Below are 22,774 nucleotides of genomic sequence, written 5' to 3' on the forward strand. Positions count from 1 at the left end.
AATGGGAAAACTATATCTGGCAAACAAACAAACAAAAAAACAAAAAAAAAACCCTTTTTTTCACTTCTTTCAGCACTTTGAATATGTCATCCCACTCTCACCTGACTTGTAAGGTTTCTACTGAAAAGTATGTTGCCAGATGCCAGATGTTTGAGAGCTCTTTTGTATTTATTTATTTCTTTTTTCTTTCTGGTTTTAGGATCTTTTCTTTACCTTTGACCTTTGGGAATTTGATTTTTAAGTACCTTTAGGTAGTTGAATCTTTTTGTCTTTCTTTCTTATCTTGTATCTGAATATTGATTTCTTTCTTTAGGTTTGGAAATTTCTCTGTTATTATTTCTATGAATAAACTTTCTACCCAGTATCTCTCTCTACTTCCTCTTTACAGCCAATAACTCTTAAATTTGTCCTTTTGAAGCTATTTTCTAGATCTTGCCGTAAGCTTCATTTTTTTTTAATGTTTTACTTTTTCTCTTCTGATTGTGTATTTTTATATAGGCTGTCTTCAGGATCATTAATTCTTTCTTTTGCTTGATGAATTCTGCTATTGAGAGACTCTGATGCATATTTCAGTTTGTCAATTGAATATTTTAGCTCCAGAATTTCTACTTTATTTTTAGTGTCAATCTCTTTATTAAATGCTTCTGATAGAATTTTGAATTTCTTCTGGTTTTTTTTTTTTTTTTGGAGTTTGTTGAACATCCTCAAAACACACCTTGATAAAGTTAAAAGAATAGATCATATAACATGTGCTCATACCAAAATATAATTAAACCATATATCAATAACTTAAAGATAGCTGGAAAACCTCTAAATATTTGTAAATTAGAAGACATGCATACTTCAAACTAACACATACATCAAAACAAAGTCTAAAGAGAAATTACTAAAAATATATTTTGAACAGACTGAATATGAAAATGCAACATATCCAAATTTGTCTGATGCAGGGAAACCAGTATTTAAATAACAGTTCATAGCATTAAGTGAATAATCAAAAAGAAATTTTAAAATTACATTAATAACCTAAGACTTCAAGTTAGGAAACTACAGATAAAGGAGAATTTCTTTGCTAACACAAACAGAAAAAAAATACATAATAAAAATTAGAGTAGAGATCAACGATAATTGAAGCATGGAAATAATATAAAAAATGAATAAAATAAAAGCTGGTTACTTTAGAAAATCAATTAAAAGGGATATATTTTAGAATGGCTGCAAACAATAGCAAAAATATATGACACAAATTATCAATGTCAGAAATGAAAGAGGTTATTACTGATCCTGTTGATATTAAAGGATAATAAACACTACAAACTATGTTAGGCACACACATTTATTAATCTAAAATGAACCTTTTTTTAAATCACACAACTATAAAAAGTCACACAAGATTGAAAGGATAACAAGAATAGAGCTAATAAAGAAAATAAATTAATAACCTTGCAAAAATAAAATGTAAAATTCAAATGGTTTCACTAGTAAATTCTACCAAATATTAAATGAGAAATCATAAATATATTATTCAACATTTCTTCCAAAAAAGAATAGAGGAAAATACTTTCTAACTCATTCTATGAGGCAGCATTGTCCTTATACTGAAGTCAGATAAAAGCTTTACAAGAAAGAAAAACTGCAGATCAGTCTCTCTCACAAATATAGAAGCCAAACTCCTAAACAAGTATTTGCAATTTAATTTTAAAAAGTATAAAAATAATTATATATTATGTTCAAGTTAGTATAGAAATCTGGATCAAAATGTAAAAATAAAACAATATGTTATTATTTAAGATTGAGTGCCTGTATTAAAACATCTCATATACCCCATAAACATATACACCACTATGTACACATAAAAATTAAAATTTTAAAAATTTAAAAACTAAAATCAGAAAATATAATCTATGGCATCAAAATGCGAAAGATGACAAATCATGACCATATTAAGTGATACGGAAAAACCATGTGACAAAATTCATAAACGATTCATGATAGAAACACTCAGAACCAATGAACATCAGAAAACTAGAGGAACATCTTCAACTTGACAAAGAACATCATAAAAATTCTAGTGTTGGTAAAAAAAAAACAGTGCTTTTCCTTCATCCCAAAACAAGGTAAAATATATACTCTCTATTCAGTCTCTAAATGGAAGTCTATAGGACAAAGTCAATCAATTGGACAAAGACAAGAAAATGAACTTAAAGATCTATAGATTAGAAAGAAATAAATACAACTCTCTTTATTCACAGATAAAATCTTTGTCTATATAAAGTATCCAAAAAAAGTACAATGAACATTCTTAGAATGTTAAACAATATAAGCAAGGGTAAAATGCAATGGTACAAATATTAAACAATATATGTTCAATATATAAATGTAAATTGTATACTTATTTACCATCAATGAATAATTAAAATTTTAAATTAAAAAACCAATTTCAAAATTACTCAAAAATAAAATACTTAACAATTATAACAAAATATGTACTGGAATTCTATGTAGAAAACTATAAAATGCTGACGTATGAAATTAAAGAGCTAAATAAATGGAGAGACATTCCATGTTCAAGGATTGGAAGACTACATATTTATGAAATTGTCTAAATTTAACATTAAAGCTATAGATTCAATCCCAACCTAAATTTGCAGTTCCAATCACAGTCCAAGTAAACTATTTCATAGTGATAAACACATTAATTCAGAAATTTGTATTGAATGAAGAAAGACCTAAAATAAGCAAAAAAAAAAAAAATAGTAAAGAAGAAGAGAAAGTTGGAGGGCTAGCATTATTTGAGTTTAAGACTTTCTACAAATATAAATAATAAAAAAGTATGACATTAGAGAAAGAATAGACACATACATAAATGTAACAGAATAGAGAGCTCAGAAATACGCCCATGCAAATATAGCCAGTGACCGTTGACAAAGTCACAAAGGCTTTACAATGAAAATAGGATTGTCTTTTAAACAAAGGATCCTGAGAGAATTGAATGTCTATATGCAAATGATAAATGAATAAATAAGAACCTGGATAAAGACTTTAACATTATTCACAAAAAATAACTCAGATTAATTAGGAATTTAAATGTAAAACACAAAACAAAAATGTGTGCATTATCAATGCTCATTTTTACATTTTGTACCCTTTTCTCCTGGCAGCCTTTTATTGCATCTCCTCATACAAAGATCATCCATACAGTTGGCATGTTGTTGCTTTTCTCAAATTTAATTAAAAAGCATATAGCACAAGCTCTAGCATAAAGTAGATGCAAGAACAGTATAAGCCTCCCTCATGGATTTCTATTTGAAGGTTACCAAATAAAATATGAGTAAAAGAACCGTAAGATGCAGGAATTAAAGCTCCAGTGGAGTAGGCAGTATCAGCTTCCTTATATTATAAAACAAACATAAATATATAGATTGTATAATCCTCCCTTGACTAAGAGTGTCCACAATCTGACTCATGCTTACCTAGTGAACGATAAATATTATTTTTTGCTATGGCAAATTAGGGTGGAACATGGATATCAATATTTTATAGAGAACATGGATATCAATATTTTATAGAGGGAAATTACAGAAAATCCACCTAGGGAAATACATTCAAACATGTCAGTAGAACAAGACAGTATCAGTGGTAGTATTAGCATTCATGTTAGTTTCCTCGGGTTGCCATAACAAAATACCACACACTGAGTGATTTTAAACAGCAGAAATTTATTTTACAGATTTAGAGGCTAGAAATCTGAGAAGATGTTGACAAGGCCATGCTCCATCTGAAGACACTAGGGAAGGATTTATTCCAGAACTCTGCCCCAGCCTCTGGTGATTCCTTGATTTGTGGTAGCAAAACTCAAACTTTCACTTGCCATTCTCCCTGTGTGCTTGCCTTGATTCCAATTTCCCGTTTTTCTTAAGGCCACCAGTTATATTGGAAAATGGACCCACCCCACTTCAGTAGGACCTGATTATAACTAATTATGTCTGAAATGATCCAGTTTTTAAAGAAGGCCACATTCTGAGATACTGGAAGTGAGGATATCAACACATGAATTTTGGGGTACATAATTAAACTCATAAAAGGAAGTATCAAGGACTAAGATTAAGCAAGATGAGAAGCAACTTTTAGAAAATGGGGGCATACCAGTGCCAGAAATAACATCTTGAATTGTGTAAAGTGGTTTGTATACCAGAGATTGGTGGCCAATTTAAGGGTTCAAAGTTATTGATATATATATATGGATAAGTTATATAGAGTGATGTACTCAGATATGTAATGTTAAACTGAGCACTATCCATTATTATATTACTTAAAACATCTACACATCTATAGATTTAACTTTGTTTTTTAAAATATAGCCATCCCCAGTCTTGATTTATACAACATACATATATATGTATACATATATTATATATGTATGTTGTATAAATATATTTATAAATATATGTATACATATTATTAGAGAAATATGGCAAATCTTTTGAATAGAAACAAACTTAGCTCTTATAATCACTTAGTTAATAACAATTAAAAATAAATTTCAAATTTTGAAGAAGAAATCTGTTCTAATCATTGCACTGGGGCTGGGCATAGAAAATAATAATTAAATTTTATTTTTGAAAACAATTGTATAATGTGTATTTTCAGACAAGTAAAATAAAAGCATTTGAAATAAATCACATTTTAGAAATTTCAAGATAAGAACACTTGGGTCAGTTTTTAAAAATTGGCCTTTGTATTACCTGAAAGGGCAGTATCATTTCAGACTTACATAGTGTAAATCTAGTTATCTGAGTTTCTCTAAATACTCATTGCCTCTGGGTCACAAAACTGCAAACAACCATTTTGAAAGGGATACCTTTTGGTACCCAAATCTTAAAAAATCTATAACAATTACATTTGTTTTAATAAAAAGTCAATTTTGAAAAAGAATAAACTCTCATACTTTGAGACAAGATAATAAAAACTACCAAAGTGATACTAAGTTTAAATAAAAAAGGTAATTTCTAAATATAAAATAAGGCTGTACTCACTATTAGAACTCTATCTTGATGTTTTAAAATCATTATTGTAATACATTAATTGTGATACTAAATAAATATACATATTTCAGTATTTGCCATTTGAAATGCATTTGGGGCATATAAGTTTTCTTTGAAAAAATATGAAAACTGTCATTTGAAACAACTATAAAATCAATACATGTCAAAAATAAATTTAAAATTCCAGTGCTTATAAAGAATAAAAACTAACTTTGATATTATAAGAGCTTTCCCTACAAATTATCCTGAAGTTGGTGTTATAAACTGTTACTTTTTAATTTAATATAATTTCAAACATAGGAAGTACTCAAGAATAACTCAACATGCATATGCCTTTTATTAAAATTAAATAACTATTTACTTTTGTTTTATTAGCTTTAACATTCTTTTTATATATTTACATATGTTAACACTTATTTCACATTAATATCAGGACTCCTATAGGGAGATATATATAGAGAAATATGTTAACTTTTCTGAAATGTTTGAAAATAATTTGGGAACTTATGATCATTGTATTTGTATATAAATTATTTGGTATGCTTTTTTGCTAAAAACAAGGGTATATTTTTAAATAACCTTTTGTTTCAAAATTAATAATATCATTAAATTTAACATTGATACCATAAATAACATTGATACAATAATATTAGCTAATATTACAGTCTACTATTACCTAATATTCAGATCATCTGCAAATCTGTTAAATTGTTAAAATAGCCAAAGAAATTCTGAAAAACAACAAAAAAGCAAAAATCCCAATACTCGGTTTCATAGAAACCTATTCACTTGTGCTGATGTCCTAAATAATATAATTTTTGAAGTTAGATTTTTAAAGGATTGGGCTGAAGCAGGTGGAGTTTCTAAGACTCTGGAGCACAGAATTCTTTAAGCTAGGTTTTGAGGGCATGGCTGTCTAGGCATCTAGACGTTCAACAATCAATGTAACTTCACTTATGACTGAATTAGACAAATGAAACATTATAATATTATAGTGCTCTTTTAGGTTAGTTCCCCATAGGGAGTCATTGAGATAAGAATTCATGTGCAATTGATTTATTAAACACTTCAGAAATAGTAAGAGAGAGAGTACTAAAATAGGAAAAGGTGAGGAGTCACAAATAATTCCCAGCCCCAGACTGGTTTCGCAGTGAAATCGTCAGCATAAATTACAACTTAAGAGTTTTTTTTAAAGATCTATGCAAGGGATTCTGAATTTTGGTCTCCCTTATCAATAAGTCATTTATACCTGAGTGGGTTTAAACTCTCAGGCCCTTTCAGTTTTCTCCCTTTGAGGGAGAAGGTGTAGCAGGAAGAAAGGGACAGACCTATGCAGAAAACTGCAGGTGCCAAGCATTAAAAGCAAAGCACACAGAATCTTTAAATTGAATCCAAGGGGATATGGATGGGAAAGGACAGTGTCTGCTACAATGCCTTACAGGACTTGAGGAGAAAGTTTAAAGGCAAACTGTGCTTATCTCATGATGTTACTAAAAGTGACACTTCCAGCTTCAATACTGCATAAAAACTATGAGATAGAATATTGATGTCATAATTATTATTTCTGCATTGGAGAGTAGAAGTTGGCTATATTTTTGGATGTTAAATATATTTTGTAACTTTTCACATTGTATCATTTGGTCATTCAAATATATGTCACTTCTATTACATCTAACGCTGAGCACTTTTTAGCATAAATAAAAATCGATTGATTTTTCATGTCTCTATTAATATTTTCCATGGGGAAGATATTGGAAAATTAATTGTACATCCCTTTAAACTGTGGATAAGTGATTAGTAGTTTGAAATAAAGGAGTGTTATAAATAAAAACTGAACGGCCAAATATTACAGGGTCAGTCAGATGCAGTGTCTGGAGTTCTCACTTGATGGTGTGTGTGTGTGTGTGTGAGAAATAAAGCATTGAAAGGAGTGGTGTCTGTCACAATCTAGAATGTAGGTATAGAAACCATTGTGTGAGTAAGGGAAGGGGAAGGCCTCCGTAAGGTAGCAAGTAGGTAAGCCTGCAGGTAGGGGTACTTCCTGTGAGGTGTGTCAGTAGCAACTGAGCTAAGACTTAATCTTTTTATCTAGTTTGCCAGGTACTAGTGGTTAGGTTAGCACCCATAAAAGATTCACATATGTGTGGCCCATGAAATAGAATTAGTCATAATGAGAACTAATCTTAAAAAGGCTCAGTCTTTAAAACCATTTTAATTAATTCATTTGTAAATATCTGATATAATGTTTTAGGTGTATGGTAGTGACATGATGTTAAAATCCCAATGCCTCTAGGATTCCTTGTTTTAGCACTGTCGCCTTTTCTAGAACATCTACGTTTTTGGAACAATTTTAACAAAATAAATCAGACGAGAAGAACCAGCATTTGAGCTCAATACTCATTTCCAGTAAGGTGATTTACCTTCCAGGCAACCAGAAGCCTGTAATACAAAGTAATAGGGATTTCTGAATGCAATATCATAACAATGAGCAAATTGGTAATAAGCAATATGAAGAAAAAATGAAGCTGGGGGGTAGAAGTAAAGTGACAGGGCTATTTTATATATTGTTCTCATGTAAGGCCCCTCCATGGCAGTAACGTTAATAAGAGAACAAAATAAAGAGGCAAGTGATATGACTCTGGAAAATACTGTTTGAGGCAGAGTAAGTAGCAATACAGATTCTGAAACAGCAGGGTGCTTGCTTTGTTTGAGGACCAGAAATAAGACCTGCATGGTGAAAGCGGAAACCCAAAGAGCTAGAGGAATGTGAAAGAGACCATAGAGGTAGAGAATTGATTCATGTAAACCTTACAGGGGCGATAAGAATTTTCTGAGTTAGAAACTATTGAAGCACAGGTATTACCTGTTACATATTTTAAATGGTCGTACTGGCAGTGGTGTGGCTAATATAACAGTGGAAGAAATTGAGTAATGATTGTATCAGAGCAGCTTATTTTGTGGTTATAATGCCTTCTGTACTCACTGAGTTGTCCTTGGGAAACTTCGTAGAGCTCTTTGAAATTCAGCTATGTCATTTGAGAATAGGCCAAAATACTTATTTTATTGTCGTCTTTTGAGGTTAAAGAGAAATGCATGTTAGATAATCTTGTAAACTATAAAACATCAAATCAATACGAATTGTAGAGAAATGTATAAAATTCTTTACACAAAACAGTGGTGAAATTCAGAAAATCTATCTATTTTCATTGGAAATCCATTAGGTTCCACATAATGACTTATAGTTAAATATCAATTATTTTTAAATATTTTCGCCTAATGTGACATCATTTTGAGCTAAGATATATATATATAAACAAATATTACATATATTTAACAAATGAAGGCTCTTATTTATTAATTCTTTTTTTACTTGTTAGCAACTTACATATTTGAACTACTGAATGTTTGGTTTTTTAGGACACAATACTCTTAATTTTAAGAAGATTAACAAATGAATCTATCATGTTATTAGTTTTTGAAATAATTTTATTATTCCATACTTTGCATAATATCTCAATTAATTTTAATTGATTTTTTTTGAGATGGAGTTTGCTTTTGTTGCCCAGGCTGGAGTACAATGGCATGATCTCTGCTCACTGCAACCTCCACCTCCCAGGTTCAAGGGATTCTCCTGTCTCAGCCTCCTGAGTAGCTGAGATTACAGGCGCCAGCCACCAAGCCCAGCTAATTTTTTGTTTTTTAGTAGAGACAGAGTTTCACCATATTGGCCAGGGTGGTCTCGAATTCCTGACCTCAAGTGAACCACCCGCCTACACCTCCCAAAATGCTAGGATTACAGGCATGAGCCACCATGCCCAGCCAAATTTTAACTTATTTTTCAGTGAAAATGTTTTAATGAAGAGTTAGGCTACTTGTAGCATTTCTACTTTACTTAACTCTATCATCAATGACAATTACTAGAGAAATTTAAAATTATCTGTACAAATAATGCCTTTTTTACTCCATAAATATTAATTTCAATACCTTCCAAATAATAAATTAAGTCCATAAACTTAATTATAAGCATATTACCAAAGCAAACTATGAAATTTGTCATAGTGCTCTAAATAGTAGCTGCTGCTTTAAAGAGTCCTTGATTGACCTCTGGCAAGAGGAACATTATTCAGTAAAATGAGTTATTTCACCTACAGAAATAGCATTCATTTGCCAACAATGTCGGTGAGTTTTCACCACTTCCTTTCATTTTAGCAATCAATTTGAGAGCTGTACTAAAAGCAGCATAAAGTTCATTGTCCTCTGGCACAAAATCAGACAGCACATTTAAATTTGGCTGTGCTATAAAACCCATGTAAACAATAAATGCTTTTACATAAAAATATGTCCAAAGTGAAATACCTTAAAATACGTATAATAAATTAAAAAAGAGTGTTTTAGAAATCTTTAAGAATTTTTTTTCAGTTAATTTCATGGAAAATGCGTAACAAAAATTATGTACAAATTATTTATACTTGCTTATCTTTAGTTCAAAAATTTACATAGTTGTTTTAGCTAAAAAGCATAAAGTAATATTATTTTTTAAGTTTATACTTTGGACAATGACTACAAAAATTGTTATATACATTATTTGAAATAATTCACCAAAATGTTTTTTGAAGTTGGTGCTAGCACTATATTGAGAAACTGAGGCATTGAGTTGGGTTATTTCCCCAAGCTCTCAAAGGGTAAATTATGGAGCCATGATTCAAATCCAAGCTGTCTGCACCCCAATCATAATTATTAAACACTGTATTATATTGCTTATGGAAAATCATAACAGAAATAATGTGAAGCAAAAATAATCTTCATTTAACCTTTTCTGATAATTTGATTTATTACCAAAGCTGCATGTTTGTAAAATCATATGATTTTTCACTTATCAAATTGATAAGATTTTTTTTCATCCAAACATGAGTTCAAATTGGAATGTCATATGATGCAATCTCTCTAAAAATAATTTAGGCAAATAAATTAAAAGCTTGATAAGAGGTATAACTTTTGACCCAGGAACTCGTAATTCAGAAAAGTAATTCTAGATTATCAATGGTCAGGGCATGTGGAAATGGAAAGTCCCCAGAGAAGATTGCCTAAAGTGAAAATAACTGGTTGCCATGTTTATTGTAAGAAAAGAGTTCAGGAACACAAGCCCATGATGATTAAAGGATGCAATATTACATTTCATTAGGCCCATAAAACTAGAGTTATTGGGTGGTGATATATGATTCTTAATAGAAACATTATATAAACTGCACAAAGAGAATTTGTTTCAGGGTGGGAATATAACCACATAGCCACTTAGTTTTCATGGAAGACTTCATGATGTAGAGTTTGTCACCATTGTTTGAAATCAATTAGTGTAATTATAATATATAACTCACTTAAATCCCTGTTCTTTAGAGCAAATAAGACTTGAATTTTATTAATGACTAAGATTGTTACCAATAATTCACCCATTTAGCAAAGATAATGAAGTTTATAAACAGGAGAGACCCCTCTGGTCTTTGGTTGGCTAGCCTGGATACCATGTTAGAAATGATCCTCCATAATCCTTTGGTGCTCTGGTGTTTTTTTTTTTTTTTTTTTTTCCCCACTTTGGGCTATAGAATTCAGATTGCCAAGATCTCCCAGCTCCTGCCTCACAACATCAGCAGAAACTGTGATTAAGCAGGAGAAGATCATTCTCAGTTACTCTTGGAAATAGGATACATCTACCAGTTTCCTAATTTGGGTAAATTTTTACCTTCTGTTATCTCAGGTGCAGCCTAACCCAGTCTATCGGCATAAGGTTCCTCATGTTTATTTGATTCAGCTCAGCATGCACCCTCCTCAGGACACCTGGATTTGTTCTTTGCTCTGTCTGGATTATTCATCCAGAAGGAATATATAGATGGTTTAATTCCTCACTAACCTAAGGTCTTTATGTAAGTGTCACCTTCCTAATAAAGCTTGTGTGGTAATACCATTAGTACTCACAAATATCTAAAGCTCCTTACTTTCTTGGAAACATAAAAAACCACAGTACCCAATCTGACTACAATTAGATAGAACTGTGACTGTGAGAGAAAAGAGTGTTATGTCTAGACAAAAAACAGTGAAAAGCCCATAACCAGTATGCCCACACCCTCATCCCCATCACAGCAAGAATGAGGGCCATATTTTGTTATTATGGCCCCAGGATTTTGTCCCCTATTAGACCATTCCTACATTGCAATAAAGAGACTGGGCAATTTATAGAGAAAAATGTATAATGGGCTCACGGATCTGCAGGCTGTACAGGAAGCACCGTGCTGGCATCTGCTCAGCTTTCAGGAAGGCCTCAGGGAGCTTTAGCTCATGGGAGATGGCAAAGGGGAAACTGGCCTCTCAGAGGGCCAGAGCAGGAACGAGAGAGGGAGGTGCCACATACTTTTAAATAACCAGACCTCAGGAGAACCTACTGTCATGAAGACAGCACCAGAAGGATGGTGCTAAACCATTCATGAGAAATCCACCTGTATGATCCAGTCACCTCCCATCAGGCCCCACCTCCAATACTGGGAATTACAATTCTACCTGAGATTATTTTCTTGGGGAAAAGTATACAAACTATTTCACTGTGTAATGCCTTAGGAGAAAGTTGCCATAGAGAGTGGCCAGAGTTATGAAAAACAATAAAATAAGAAAACAGTATGAAATGGTTGTTAAGTATTTCTAAATGTTTACTAAACATTTCCAAAGATTTTCGTGAGCCAAAAATATACATATTCATGTGTCAAATCAACTAAAATTTTAGAGTTCATATTTTACTGTAATTTAACCTATCTGACTAATGTGACTTTCTTAAATGCACAAGTTAAAATTACAAATAGTTACCTAAAGACTCTGTTCTGCTTATTTCCTTCTTCTTATTTTTTTATACCTCTTGTAATCTAACATAGTGTACATTTTTAAAAAACTTATTATTATTACCACCACAGTCTCACTTAAGTACAGACACAAGAGAATAAAGATTTTTTATCTGTTTGTTGACTGCTACATCTGGGTAGTCAATAAATATTTGTAGAAAATCACATTAATGAAAATGTATAAATTAATTTCAGCATTCATGTGTTAAATTTCTGCTTACATCAATTGTCTATTTTCAAACTAATTTTCTGTCAGCATTGTATTTATATATATTTTTATACATAATTATAAATATATATAAATATAAATGTGTTATATATAAGTATAAATATATAATATATTTATATAATATATATTATATATATTTCTTTGAGAAAGAGTTTGCTTTCACAATATAATTTCTTATATTTTAAGCAAAATCCGATTAATTAAATGGTGTTCATGAATCATAAAGTAATTTGACAATTTTTTTTTAAGTTTTACTCTTGATAATGAATGCTATAATTATTATAATTCAGTGTGGTCCTATGAGTTAATTTTAAATTTTCTTCCTCTGGATTTCATCCAAAACTCATAATCTTCTGCCTTTATACAATTATTTGTGTTTTTAGATACTTAATCATCTTTGTGTTATAAGATGAAAGTCAGTAGAAATTCTGTTTACTTGAAAATTCTGATGAGAAAGAATTTTATACATTTTGTTGCCTCAATTTCCTTCTCAGGTGTTTCCTTAGAGATTATGTATATTCCTTCTTTTATGTATTATTAGGAAAAGAGACAATGGTTATGAGGCTAACAAAACTGCTACTTATTTGATTTTCTCATTTTCTGTGAGTAAAAATTTGAAAATTTTGGTTTATATCATTTATCAAATCTTTATGGAAAGAACAAAAGAATCTGTGAACATAACATAAAATGATTGTTAAATACTTCTAATTATTTACTATACTTTTCAAAGACAGAAATTCCTTGTCTCAGAAATTGAGAGAGTAATGATATGGCTATCAGTTTTATTCTACTATTTTATTCCAGTTTTTTAAAGAAGAGTGACAATCAATAGCATCTTATTGGTAATTAATGTTACGTAAATATGGCATAAAAATTATGCAGTTATTTTTATGATTGAACAATTTTTACTATTAAAAACCCAACCTAACATTTTGGCCAAATGCTTTCCTATATCATCTTGTTCAGATATCTGTTTTCACCTGCTGCTTGCATCTTCTCTGTCTCTGTCTCTCTCTCTGTCTTGAGAAAGTGAAATTGTTAGCTATTGGACAAACGTGTTACTTAACAACAACTTCTCTTTCCCTCTTGTATGTAATATATAATAATTATATTATGTATATTATATAATAGCATATTATATATACTAGACTGCACATTATATATGTACTATATAATACTATATTATATAGTATTCTGAATATTACTCCATATTTTAATTTTAAAAGTAAATATTATTCAGTATTTAAAATAGGTTACATGGATTGAAAAGACAAAATTGATAAATGGCTTTCTGATTGTCAAAAATTATGTTTACCCTGTTTTACTTAAGAAAGTGAAAAGTGTATACATTTATGTTCTTTATTGAACTTAGGTTAGTACTTGGTTAACATTAGATCATTGTCCTCCAATAGCATATGTACTTAATAAAACAATATTAGAGTTTATATAATATTGACATCGCAGTGGTTTTTTTATATGTTTAGTTCTACTTTAAAAATTATACAACTCGACTATATGTACTTAGACAAAAAATATAAGAGGGAATTTTTTTTTTTTTTATAACTGAGTTTTGCTCTTGTTGCCCAGTCCGGAGTGCAATGGCGTGATCTTGGCTGACCACAATCTCCGCTTCCCAGGTTCATGTGATTCTCCTGCCTCAGCCTCCCAAATAGCTGGGATTACAGGCATGCACTACCACGTCTGGCTAATTTTGTATTTTTAGTAGAAACGGGGTTTCTCCATGTTGGGCAGCCGGTCTCGAACTTCCGACCTCAAGTGATCTGTCCGCCTTGGCCTCCCAAAGTGCTGGGATTACAGGCATGAGCCACTGTGCCCAGCCAAGAGGAGATAGTTTTATAGGTGTAATAATTTGATGTTTTGAAGAGGTTCTTCATCACTCAGAAACAATTTTTTAAATAATGGAATAAGTATATTTTCTACACTCTTTCTTCATTTACTCTAACCAAAATAGGCAAATAATCAAGCTCTCTGAAGCATAGCACCACCAGGATCATCCATCCATGAAGCCAATTTCATATTATTCAGACTATAAAATTTATCTTTATGATTTGTCTCCCTTCAATAATTTTTTTTTACTTTTTCTGCTGTAGAATTTCATTTGATTATCCCCCATTGTGTTTGCCTTTAATCATTTAGCCTCATAATTTTAAAACTTGATAGGTTAACATGAGAAATTACTGAATTATTATGAATGTATAAGGAAAAATTAACATAGTATTTTTAGAACAGACAAAATAAGAGAATATTTCTATTGTTAAAACTATCAAAGTAAGGAATCCTACAGGTAGTTATCATGGGATGGGGAACTAGTGTTTGGAATATTTAAAATACGGTTAGTTTTTAACATATATATGTCAGAACCACTGCTATATTAGGTAATAGCTAATATATTTAACAGGAAATTATTTATTTGCCTTAATATACTCGTTCAAATTAATTTTCCTATTAATATTTTTCAAGAGCAATAAAATTTTTATTTCTACTTAATAATTATTTAGAAAAATACTTTTCTGTTCTACTCTTGACTTTAGAACCTGTTAGTCTTTCACACAAATCAATTAAAGAAAATAGTCAAAAATGGAAAAATAGAATATAAGCAGAAAGGAATCAAATAACATTTAAAATAAGTAACATAACCACCATGACGTCCATGAAAGAGAACTAACCCCAGTAGTTTTTTATCAGTATTTGGATAATTTATTCTCAGGCCAAGAAAAAGAAACTCTAAAAATATTGAACTTTATAGTTAATAGGTTTATTTTTCACGGAGGCATAGTTAGAAGATCTAAAACTACTTTTTTTCATTAAAAGACTGAACAGTTTGGTCAATGCATAATGGACAACTGGGTCTTGGTTTCTCAATATGAAGATAACAGTTATAAATATAGAACAAAGGAAGAATGAGGCTTTGTTGTTGAATTGGAATGGAAAGTGTCAGTGTGAGCTCATGTGTTTATATAGAAACCAATACTGATACATTTTTTAGATATAGATGTGTAAGGCATAAATATACGATGGAGCCTAAATATAGATAGATCTATAGATACTGATGTATCGAGGTACATATATATGTATGCATGCAAATATACACATATTTAGCCTAGAACAGTGATCTTCCAGCGTCTGTGAACTCACTATCCCCAAGTCCTGGTTGATACGTATAATTATTTGCTAAAAGGAATGAGAACTTTCTGGGAAAAGGTCTGATTCCAAGGCTAGGGCAGCAGAAGTTCAAGATAAATCCAAAATATCTTGTCCTCTGGAATGTGAGAAAGTGCTGTGGAATAAGAGGGAAGAACCAAAAACAAAAACTAGCTCAAAGAGTTTTCCCTTCAACCTATGGCAGTTATTAAATAAATAAGAAATCTGAGTTCACACTGATATAAAAATAAGAAGAAGAAAGCAAAGCTCTTTTTAGAGAAGGAAGGCAACAAATAAAACATTTCAAAAAAAAAAAAAAAGATTAACCACACTTCCTAGCCTCTGGTAACCATTATTCTACTGTCTGTTTCCATGAGTTCAATTTTTTTTTTTTGCTCAAACATATTAGTGAGAACATGAAATATTCGTCTTTCATTGTATGTTTATATCAAAATAACACATGTCCCCCAAGAATACATGCAACTATTATGTATCCATAATAATTAAAAATCTAAAAATTAAAAAGTAGTGATTAAGAAATCATGTTTAGAAACATTATTACAAAAATTCATTTAGAAAATAATTATCAGAAAATTTGAATACTAGTGTATGTTTTTATATTATTTATATATCTTCTTCAAACATAAAAATGAAATAAAAAGAAATATTAACTCTGCATTAGAGAAACTTCTCAGGTCCTACCTTAACCATGTGTGCAAAATAAACCTCACCCATGCTAGAACATACTAATTCCGTATGTCTCCTGACATAATGCACTTTTAGAAGAACATAATGTCACTTGCGTATTATTCTTGTCAAAAGTACATAAACCAGCATCTGATCCTGAGGTAACATTAGAAAATCTGATTTGAGGAATATTTTACAAAATAATTGACCAGTACTCTGTAAAAATATCAATATTAGAGAACAAAAGGAAAGGCTGAAGTACTCAGAGAGATTAAAGAGTAATAAAATGACAACCAAATGCAAGGCATGATCTGTGATTTCCTTATTGCTCAGTAAACATTATTGGGACTGTTTAAAATATTTAGAGAAAGTATGCTGATTACAGTATTTTTAGTCATTACTAATTTCCTGATTTTAATCATTACACTGCAGTTAAGAGCTTTTAAAAACAGAACAATCTGAAATACTTAGAGATGAGGCATATGGGCTGTAACTTATTCTCAAATGGTTTAGAAAATAATACGTAATCAATATAATTTTATGTAATTTATATATCTAAATTTATGAATTTGATGTGATTTGGCAGTGGCCCCACCCAAATCTCATCTTGAATTGTAGTTTCCATAATCCCCATGTATTGTGGGAGGGACCAGGTGAAGATAAATGAATCATGGGGGCAAGTTCCCCCATCCTGTTCTCATGATAGTGAGTTAGTTCTCACAAGATCTGATGGTTTTGTAAGGGGTTATCCCCCTTGCTGGGCTCTCCTTCTTTTCCTTCCTGCTATCATGGGAAGAAGGATGTGTTTGCTTCCCCTTCCACTATGATTGTAAATTTCCTGAGGCCTCCCCAGCCCCGTAGAACTGTGAGTCAATTGAACCTCTTTCCTGTATAAATCACCCAATTTTGGGTATTTCTTCATAGCAATGTGAGAACAGACTAATACCCTATCTTAATCTATAAGTAGAAATAAACATAGGTATATATAGTAATACATACACATATACATATAGATATACACACATGTATGTATGTATATGTAGAATAATAAATTAAATTTTAACTATTAGCATTTTAGGAATCTAGATGATTATATAAATTCTTTATATAATTCTCAAATATTTTCTATATGTCTGAAATTATGAAACACTTAGAAATATCATTAAAGAAAAAGAAAATACTTCATACTAGCAATGGTTAAAGACACACACACAAATACATAAGGTTTAAAAGTCTTTTTATCTTCTTTTTAATTGTGAGAGCAATAATCTCCCTTGACCAGAAACTAGCATTTATCAATTATTTCTTAAGTCATTTATTTTGTTCAATACCTTGTTAAATCAAGCCAGCAGTAACTATGTTCTGCTATCATCCTAATTTCTAACGTTTTTCCCCTTGAGCTACATGCTTTATGGTATATGGTCTAGATCCAGGAAGTAGAGCAAGATAGCTGAAGCGAAGCCTCCACCAATCATCCTACTCACAGGAATGCCAAATTGAACAACCTTCTACAGAAAAAATAACCTTTATAAGAACCCAGTATTAGTTCAGGTACCAGCCCAGCTACAGTTGGTAGAGCACCGAGTGGGCTCTTGGGGTCCCGACTTCTAGGCCTTGTGATATAGTTTGGCTGTGCCCCCACCCAAATCTCAACTTGAATTGTATCTCCTAGAATTTCCATGTGCTGTGGGAGGGACCCAAGGGGGAGGTAGTTGAATCATGAGGGCTGGTCTTTCCCATGCTATTCTCGAAATAGTGAACAAGTCTCAAGAGATCTGATGGGTTTATCAGGGGTTTCTGCTTTGACTTCTCTTTCATTTTTTTTCTTGCTGCCACCATGTAAGAAGTGCCTTTCACCTCCTGCCATGATTCTGAGGCTTCCCCAGCCATGCAGAACTGTAAGTCCAATTAAACCTCTTTTTCTTCACAGTCTCTGGTATGTCTTTATGAGCAGCATGAAAATGGACTAGTAGAGTAAATTGGTACCACTAGAGTCGGGCATTGCTGAAAAAATACGCAAAAATATGGAAGCAACTTTGGAACTGGGTAACAGACAGAGGTTGGAACAGTTTGGAGGGCTCAGAAGACAGGAAAATGTGGGAATGTTTGGAACCTCCTAGAGACTTTTTGAATGGCTTTGACAAAAATGCTGACAGCCGTATGAACAATAAGGTCCAGGCTGAGGTGGTCTCAGATGGAGATGAGGAACTTGTTGGGAGATGGAACAAAGATGACTCTTGTCATGTTTTAGCAAAGAGACTGGGAGCATTTTGCTCCTGCCCTAGAGATTTGTGGAACTTTGAACTAGAGAGAGTTGATTTAGGGTATATGGCAGAAGAAATTTCTAAGCAGCAAAGCTTTCAAAAGGTGACTTGGGTGCTATAAAAATCATTCCATTTTAAGAGGGAAACAGAGCATAAAAGTTCAGATAATTTATAGCCTGATGATGCAGTGGAAAAGAAAAATCCATTTTTTTGAGGAGAAATTCAAGCCAGCTGCCAAAATTTGCATAAAAGCAAAGAGCATAATGTTAATCCCCAAGACCATGGGGAAAATGTCTCCAGGCCATGTCAGAGACCTTCATGGCAGCCCCTCCATTACAGGCCTGGAGGCCCAGGAGGAAAAAGTGGTTTCATGGGCTGGGCCCAAGGTCCTCATGCTGTATACAGCCTAGGGACTTGGTGCCCTCTGTCCCAGTTGCTCCAGCCATGGCTTAAAGGGGCCAAGGTGTTTCATCCATGGTTTCAGAGGGTGCAAGCCCCAAACCTTGGAAGCTTCCATGTGGTGTTGAGCCTGTGGGTACACAGAAGTCAAGATATGAGGGTTGGGAACCTCTGCCTAGATTTCAGAAGATGTATGGAAATGCCTGGATACCCAGGCAAAAGTTTGCTGCAGGGGTGGGACCCTCATGGAGAACCTCTGCTAGGGCAGTGCAGACGGTAAATGTGGGGTCAGAGCCCGCTTACAGTGTCCCTACTGGGACACTGCATAATGGAGATGTGAGAAGAGAGCCACTGTCCTCCAGACCCCAGAATGGTAGATCCACATGGGCTAGAAAATCAACACTAGCCCATGAAAGCAGCCAGGAGAGAGGCTGTACTCTGCAAAGCCACAGGGACAGAGCTGCCCAAGACCATGCAAACCCACCTCTTGCATAAGCGTGACATGGATATGAGACCTGGAGTCAAAGGATATCATTTTGGAGTTTTAAAATTTGACTGCCCCGCTTGATTTCAGACTTGCATGGGCCTGGTAACCCCTTTGTTTTGGCCAATTTATCCTATTTGAAATGGCTGTATTTACCCAATGCCTGCACCTGCATTGTATCTAAGAAGTAACTAGCTTGCTTTTGATTTTAGAGGATTATAGGCAAAAGGGACTTGCCTTGTCTCAAATGAGACTTTGGACTGTGGACTTTTTGGTCAGTGCCAAAATGAGTTAAGACTTTGGGGAACTGTTGGGAAAGCATGATTGCTTTTGAAACGTGAGGACATGAGATTTGGAGAAGCCAGGGGTGGAATGATATGGTTTGCCTCTGTCCCCACCAAAATCTTAACTTGAATTTTATCTCCCAGAATTCCCACTTGTGTGGAGGTACCAGGGGGAGGTAATTGAATTATGGGGGCCAGTCTTTCCCATGCTATTCTTGTGATAGTGAATAAGTCTGACAAGATATGATGGGTTTATCAGGGGTTTTTGCTTTGGCTTCTCTCTCATTTTTCTCTTGCTTCCATCATGTAATAAGTGCCTTTCACTTCCCACCATGTTTCTGAGTCTTCTTCAGCCATGTGAAACTGTAAGTCCAATTAAACGTCTTTTCTCCCCCAGTCTCTGGTATGTCTTTATCAGCAGCATGAAAATGGACTAACGTAACTTGGCTCTTGGATGGCATTTCTGGACTTTGCCTGTTCCAGAATGGAATCCACTGCCCTGAAGAGAAAGTCCAGGCCACGAAGCATTCATCACAAGCTGACTGAAGAGCCCTAGGTGCCTTGAATGAACATAGACAGTAGTCAGGCAGTACTCATCATGGGCTTGGGGTGGTGGTGGCTACCAGAAGAGACTCCTTTGCCTGTGGACAACAGGGGACAGAGTGGAAAGGACTTTGTCATGTGACTTGGGTGTCAGCTCAGCTGCAGTAGAAAAGATCACCAGGTAGATTCCTAAAATTTCCAACTCCAAGCTCTGGCTTCTGGATGGCAACTCTGGACCCAGCTGCAACCAGGGAGAGCTCACTGCCCTGAAGAGAAGGACACAAGCTTACTGGCTTTGCCAATTGTTGACTGTAGAGCCCTAGGTCTCCGAGTAAACATAGATGGTAACGAGGCAGTGGTTACTGTGGGCCTTGAGACCCAATTCTGTGCTGGCTTCAGATTTAACCCAGTACAGTCCCAGTGGTGGTTGTCACAGGGGTGCTTGTGTCATTCTGCCACCAGCTCCAGGCAGCTCAGCAGAGAGGCTCTGTTTGGGAGAATGTAAGGGAAGAGAACAAGAGTCTCTGCCTGGTCATTCAGAGAATTCTTCCAGATATTACCCAAGACCACCAAGGTGGTACAGCTACAAGTCTGCAAGAGCCACAGCATGACTGGACTTGCAGTTGCCCCTAATGCAAATATGACTGCAGTGACCAAAAGGTTAGATAACAATACCCAAGTACCTTTGAATACCTGGAAATCCTCCCCAAGTGGGATAACTATAAACAAGTCTGGACTATGAAGACTACAATAAATACCTAATTCTTCAATGTCCAGATGCCAATGAACATCAACGAGCATCAAGACCATCCAGGAAAGCATGACCTCATTAAAGAACTAAATAAGGCACCGGTGTTCAATCCTGGAGAGAGAGAGAGTTCAAAATACCTTTTTGAAGGAAATTCAGTGAAATTCAAGATGACACAGGGAAGGAGTTCAGAATTATATTAGATGAGTTTAACAAAGAGATATAAATAATTTTAAAGAGTAAAGCAGAAATTCTGGACTAAAAAATGCAATTGGCTGAAGACTATACTAATTCTTATTATACTAATTCTTTTTACTAATTCTTTATATTAATACTAATTCTTTATACTATAAATTATACTAATTTATAGTATAATACTAATAATACTAAGAATTATACTAATTCTTTATACTAATTCTTATATACTAATTCTTTAATATACCATATACTAAAGAATATGGTATATGGTCTACTTAACATGTAACAAGAAACAATAGTTTCCCCCAAAAAATTGCTTCTCATGTATAACGGATCACCATCTTTTCAACGTCAAACAATTATTCTCATACTGTTAGCCAATAGACAGTGAGATACTTCCACATACTTTTGGTTTTGTTTTGTTAATAGCCAATCATTGATTATAATATTATTGCAATGTAACATATTTAGTACAGTTTTCCTAGAATATTATAATACATTTCTTTTCTAGAATATTATATATAATTCAAATGTATTAGTATACTAAACTAAAATAGTCACCATTAAATATTATTCCTTAATGCATAAAATAACAAAATTTTAGAAAAATATTAGTTTCTGTTACCTATTTACATTATGAGAAATATAATGATAAATGCTAATGATTTTGATTAACTGCTATAATTCAACACTAATGTAATATTTGATTGTACAGAAGATGAGTAGGAGTTTTCTAGCTGAGTGGTTTATAAAATGGCTATATTCACACATTTAAATTGATCATTAATTTGTGTAAATTTGAATTAATATGATTGATTTCTCTCATATTTTCTTGTTATAAACATCATTTTCTTTACCTTAGCAAAACTAGGGAAGCATTTATAAATATACATATAAATAATTATATATATCTTAGTGATATTACTCATGAGATTTCATACATGAAAGCACACTGGATATTGCCCAACAGTTACTTTTACTTATTTGCCAAATATTGTTTACATTTAAATTTGATACATTACAAATATCTTCCAGTAATGAATTAGTTTTCTAGGACTGACATAACAAATTTAACAGCCTGGGTGGGTTAAACAACAGAAACGTATTTGCTCACATTTCTGAATGTTTTAAGTCTAAGATCACAGTTTCATCAGGATTAGTTTCATTCCAAAGCCTCCCTCCTTGGCTTGTAAATAGCTGTATTATTTTGTCTTCACATGATCTTATTCTGATGTATGTGTATCCTAATCTCCTCTTATAAGGACAGCAGTCGTATTGGATTAAAGCCCACCTTTAAAGACTTCATTTTAATTCAACTACTTCTTTAAAGACTCATCTCCAAATATAGTCACAATCTGAGGTACTGGGGGTTAGGATGTCAACATATAAATTTTGGGGGAACGTAATGGAGTCATAAAGAGTAACCATCATCCTCTTGTTATGTTGTTTTAACTAAAATATATATTAATAAAATCAAGCAAAATTATATTGAGATTTTTCTAGTATTAAGTAAAGGCCATCATATTAAAACATTACCATTAAGACATGTCCATGAATTTAAGGCTGATAATCTGATATAGGAATTTGTTGTGGGAAAAAATATGCATATGCCAAAGTACATTTTTTTTTTCGCCTTCCCAGCGTTTATTTATCTCCCTTTCTAAAGTGAATACTTAGATAATTTGTATTCTGGTCAACAATATGGTTTCAGGAAATCTGCTGATATGGGGCCTCCTCCATTGGTGTAAGCAATGAGCACATTACACAATCTACCTTATTCCTATCACTATATCAAGTGGTCCAGGACTGGGACTAATTTTCTAGAAGAGGAGAAAACAGAAAACAAAAAC

Source organism: Homo sapiens, chromosome 3 (assembly GCF_000001405.40).
Source record: "Homo sapiens chromosome 3, GRCh38.p14 Primary Assembly".
Lineage (NCBI taxonomy): Eukaryota > Metazoa > Chordata > Mammalia > Primates > Hominidae > Homo > Homo sapiens.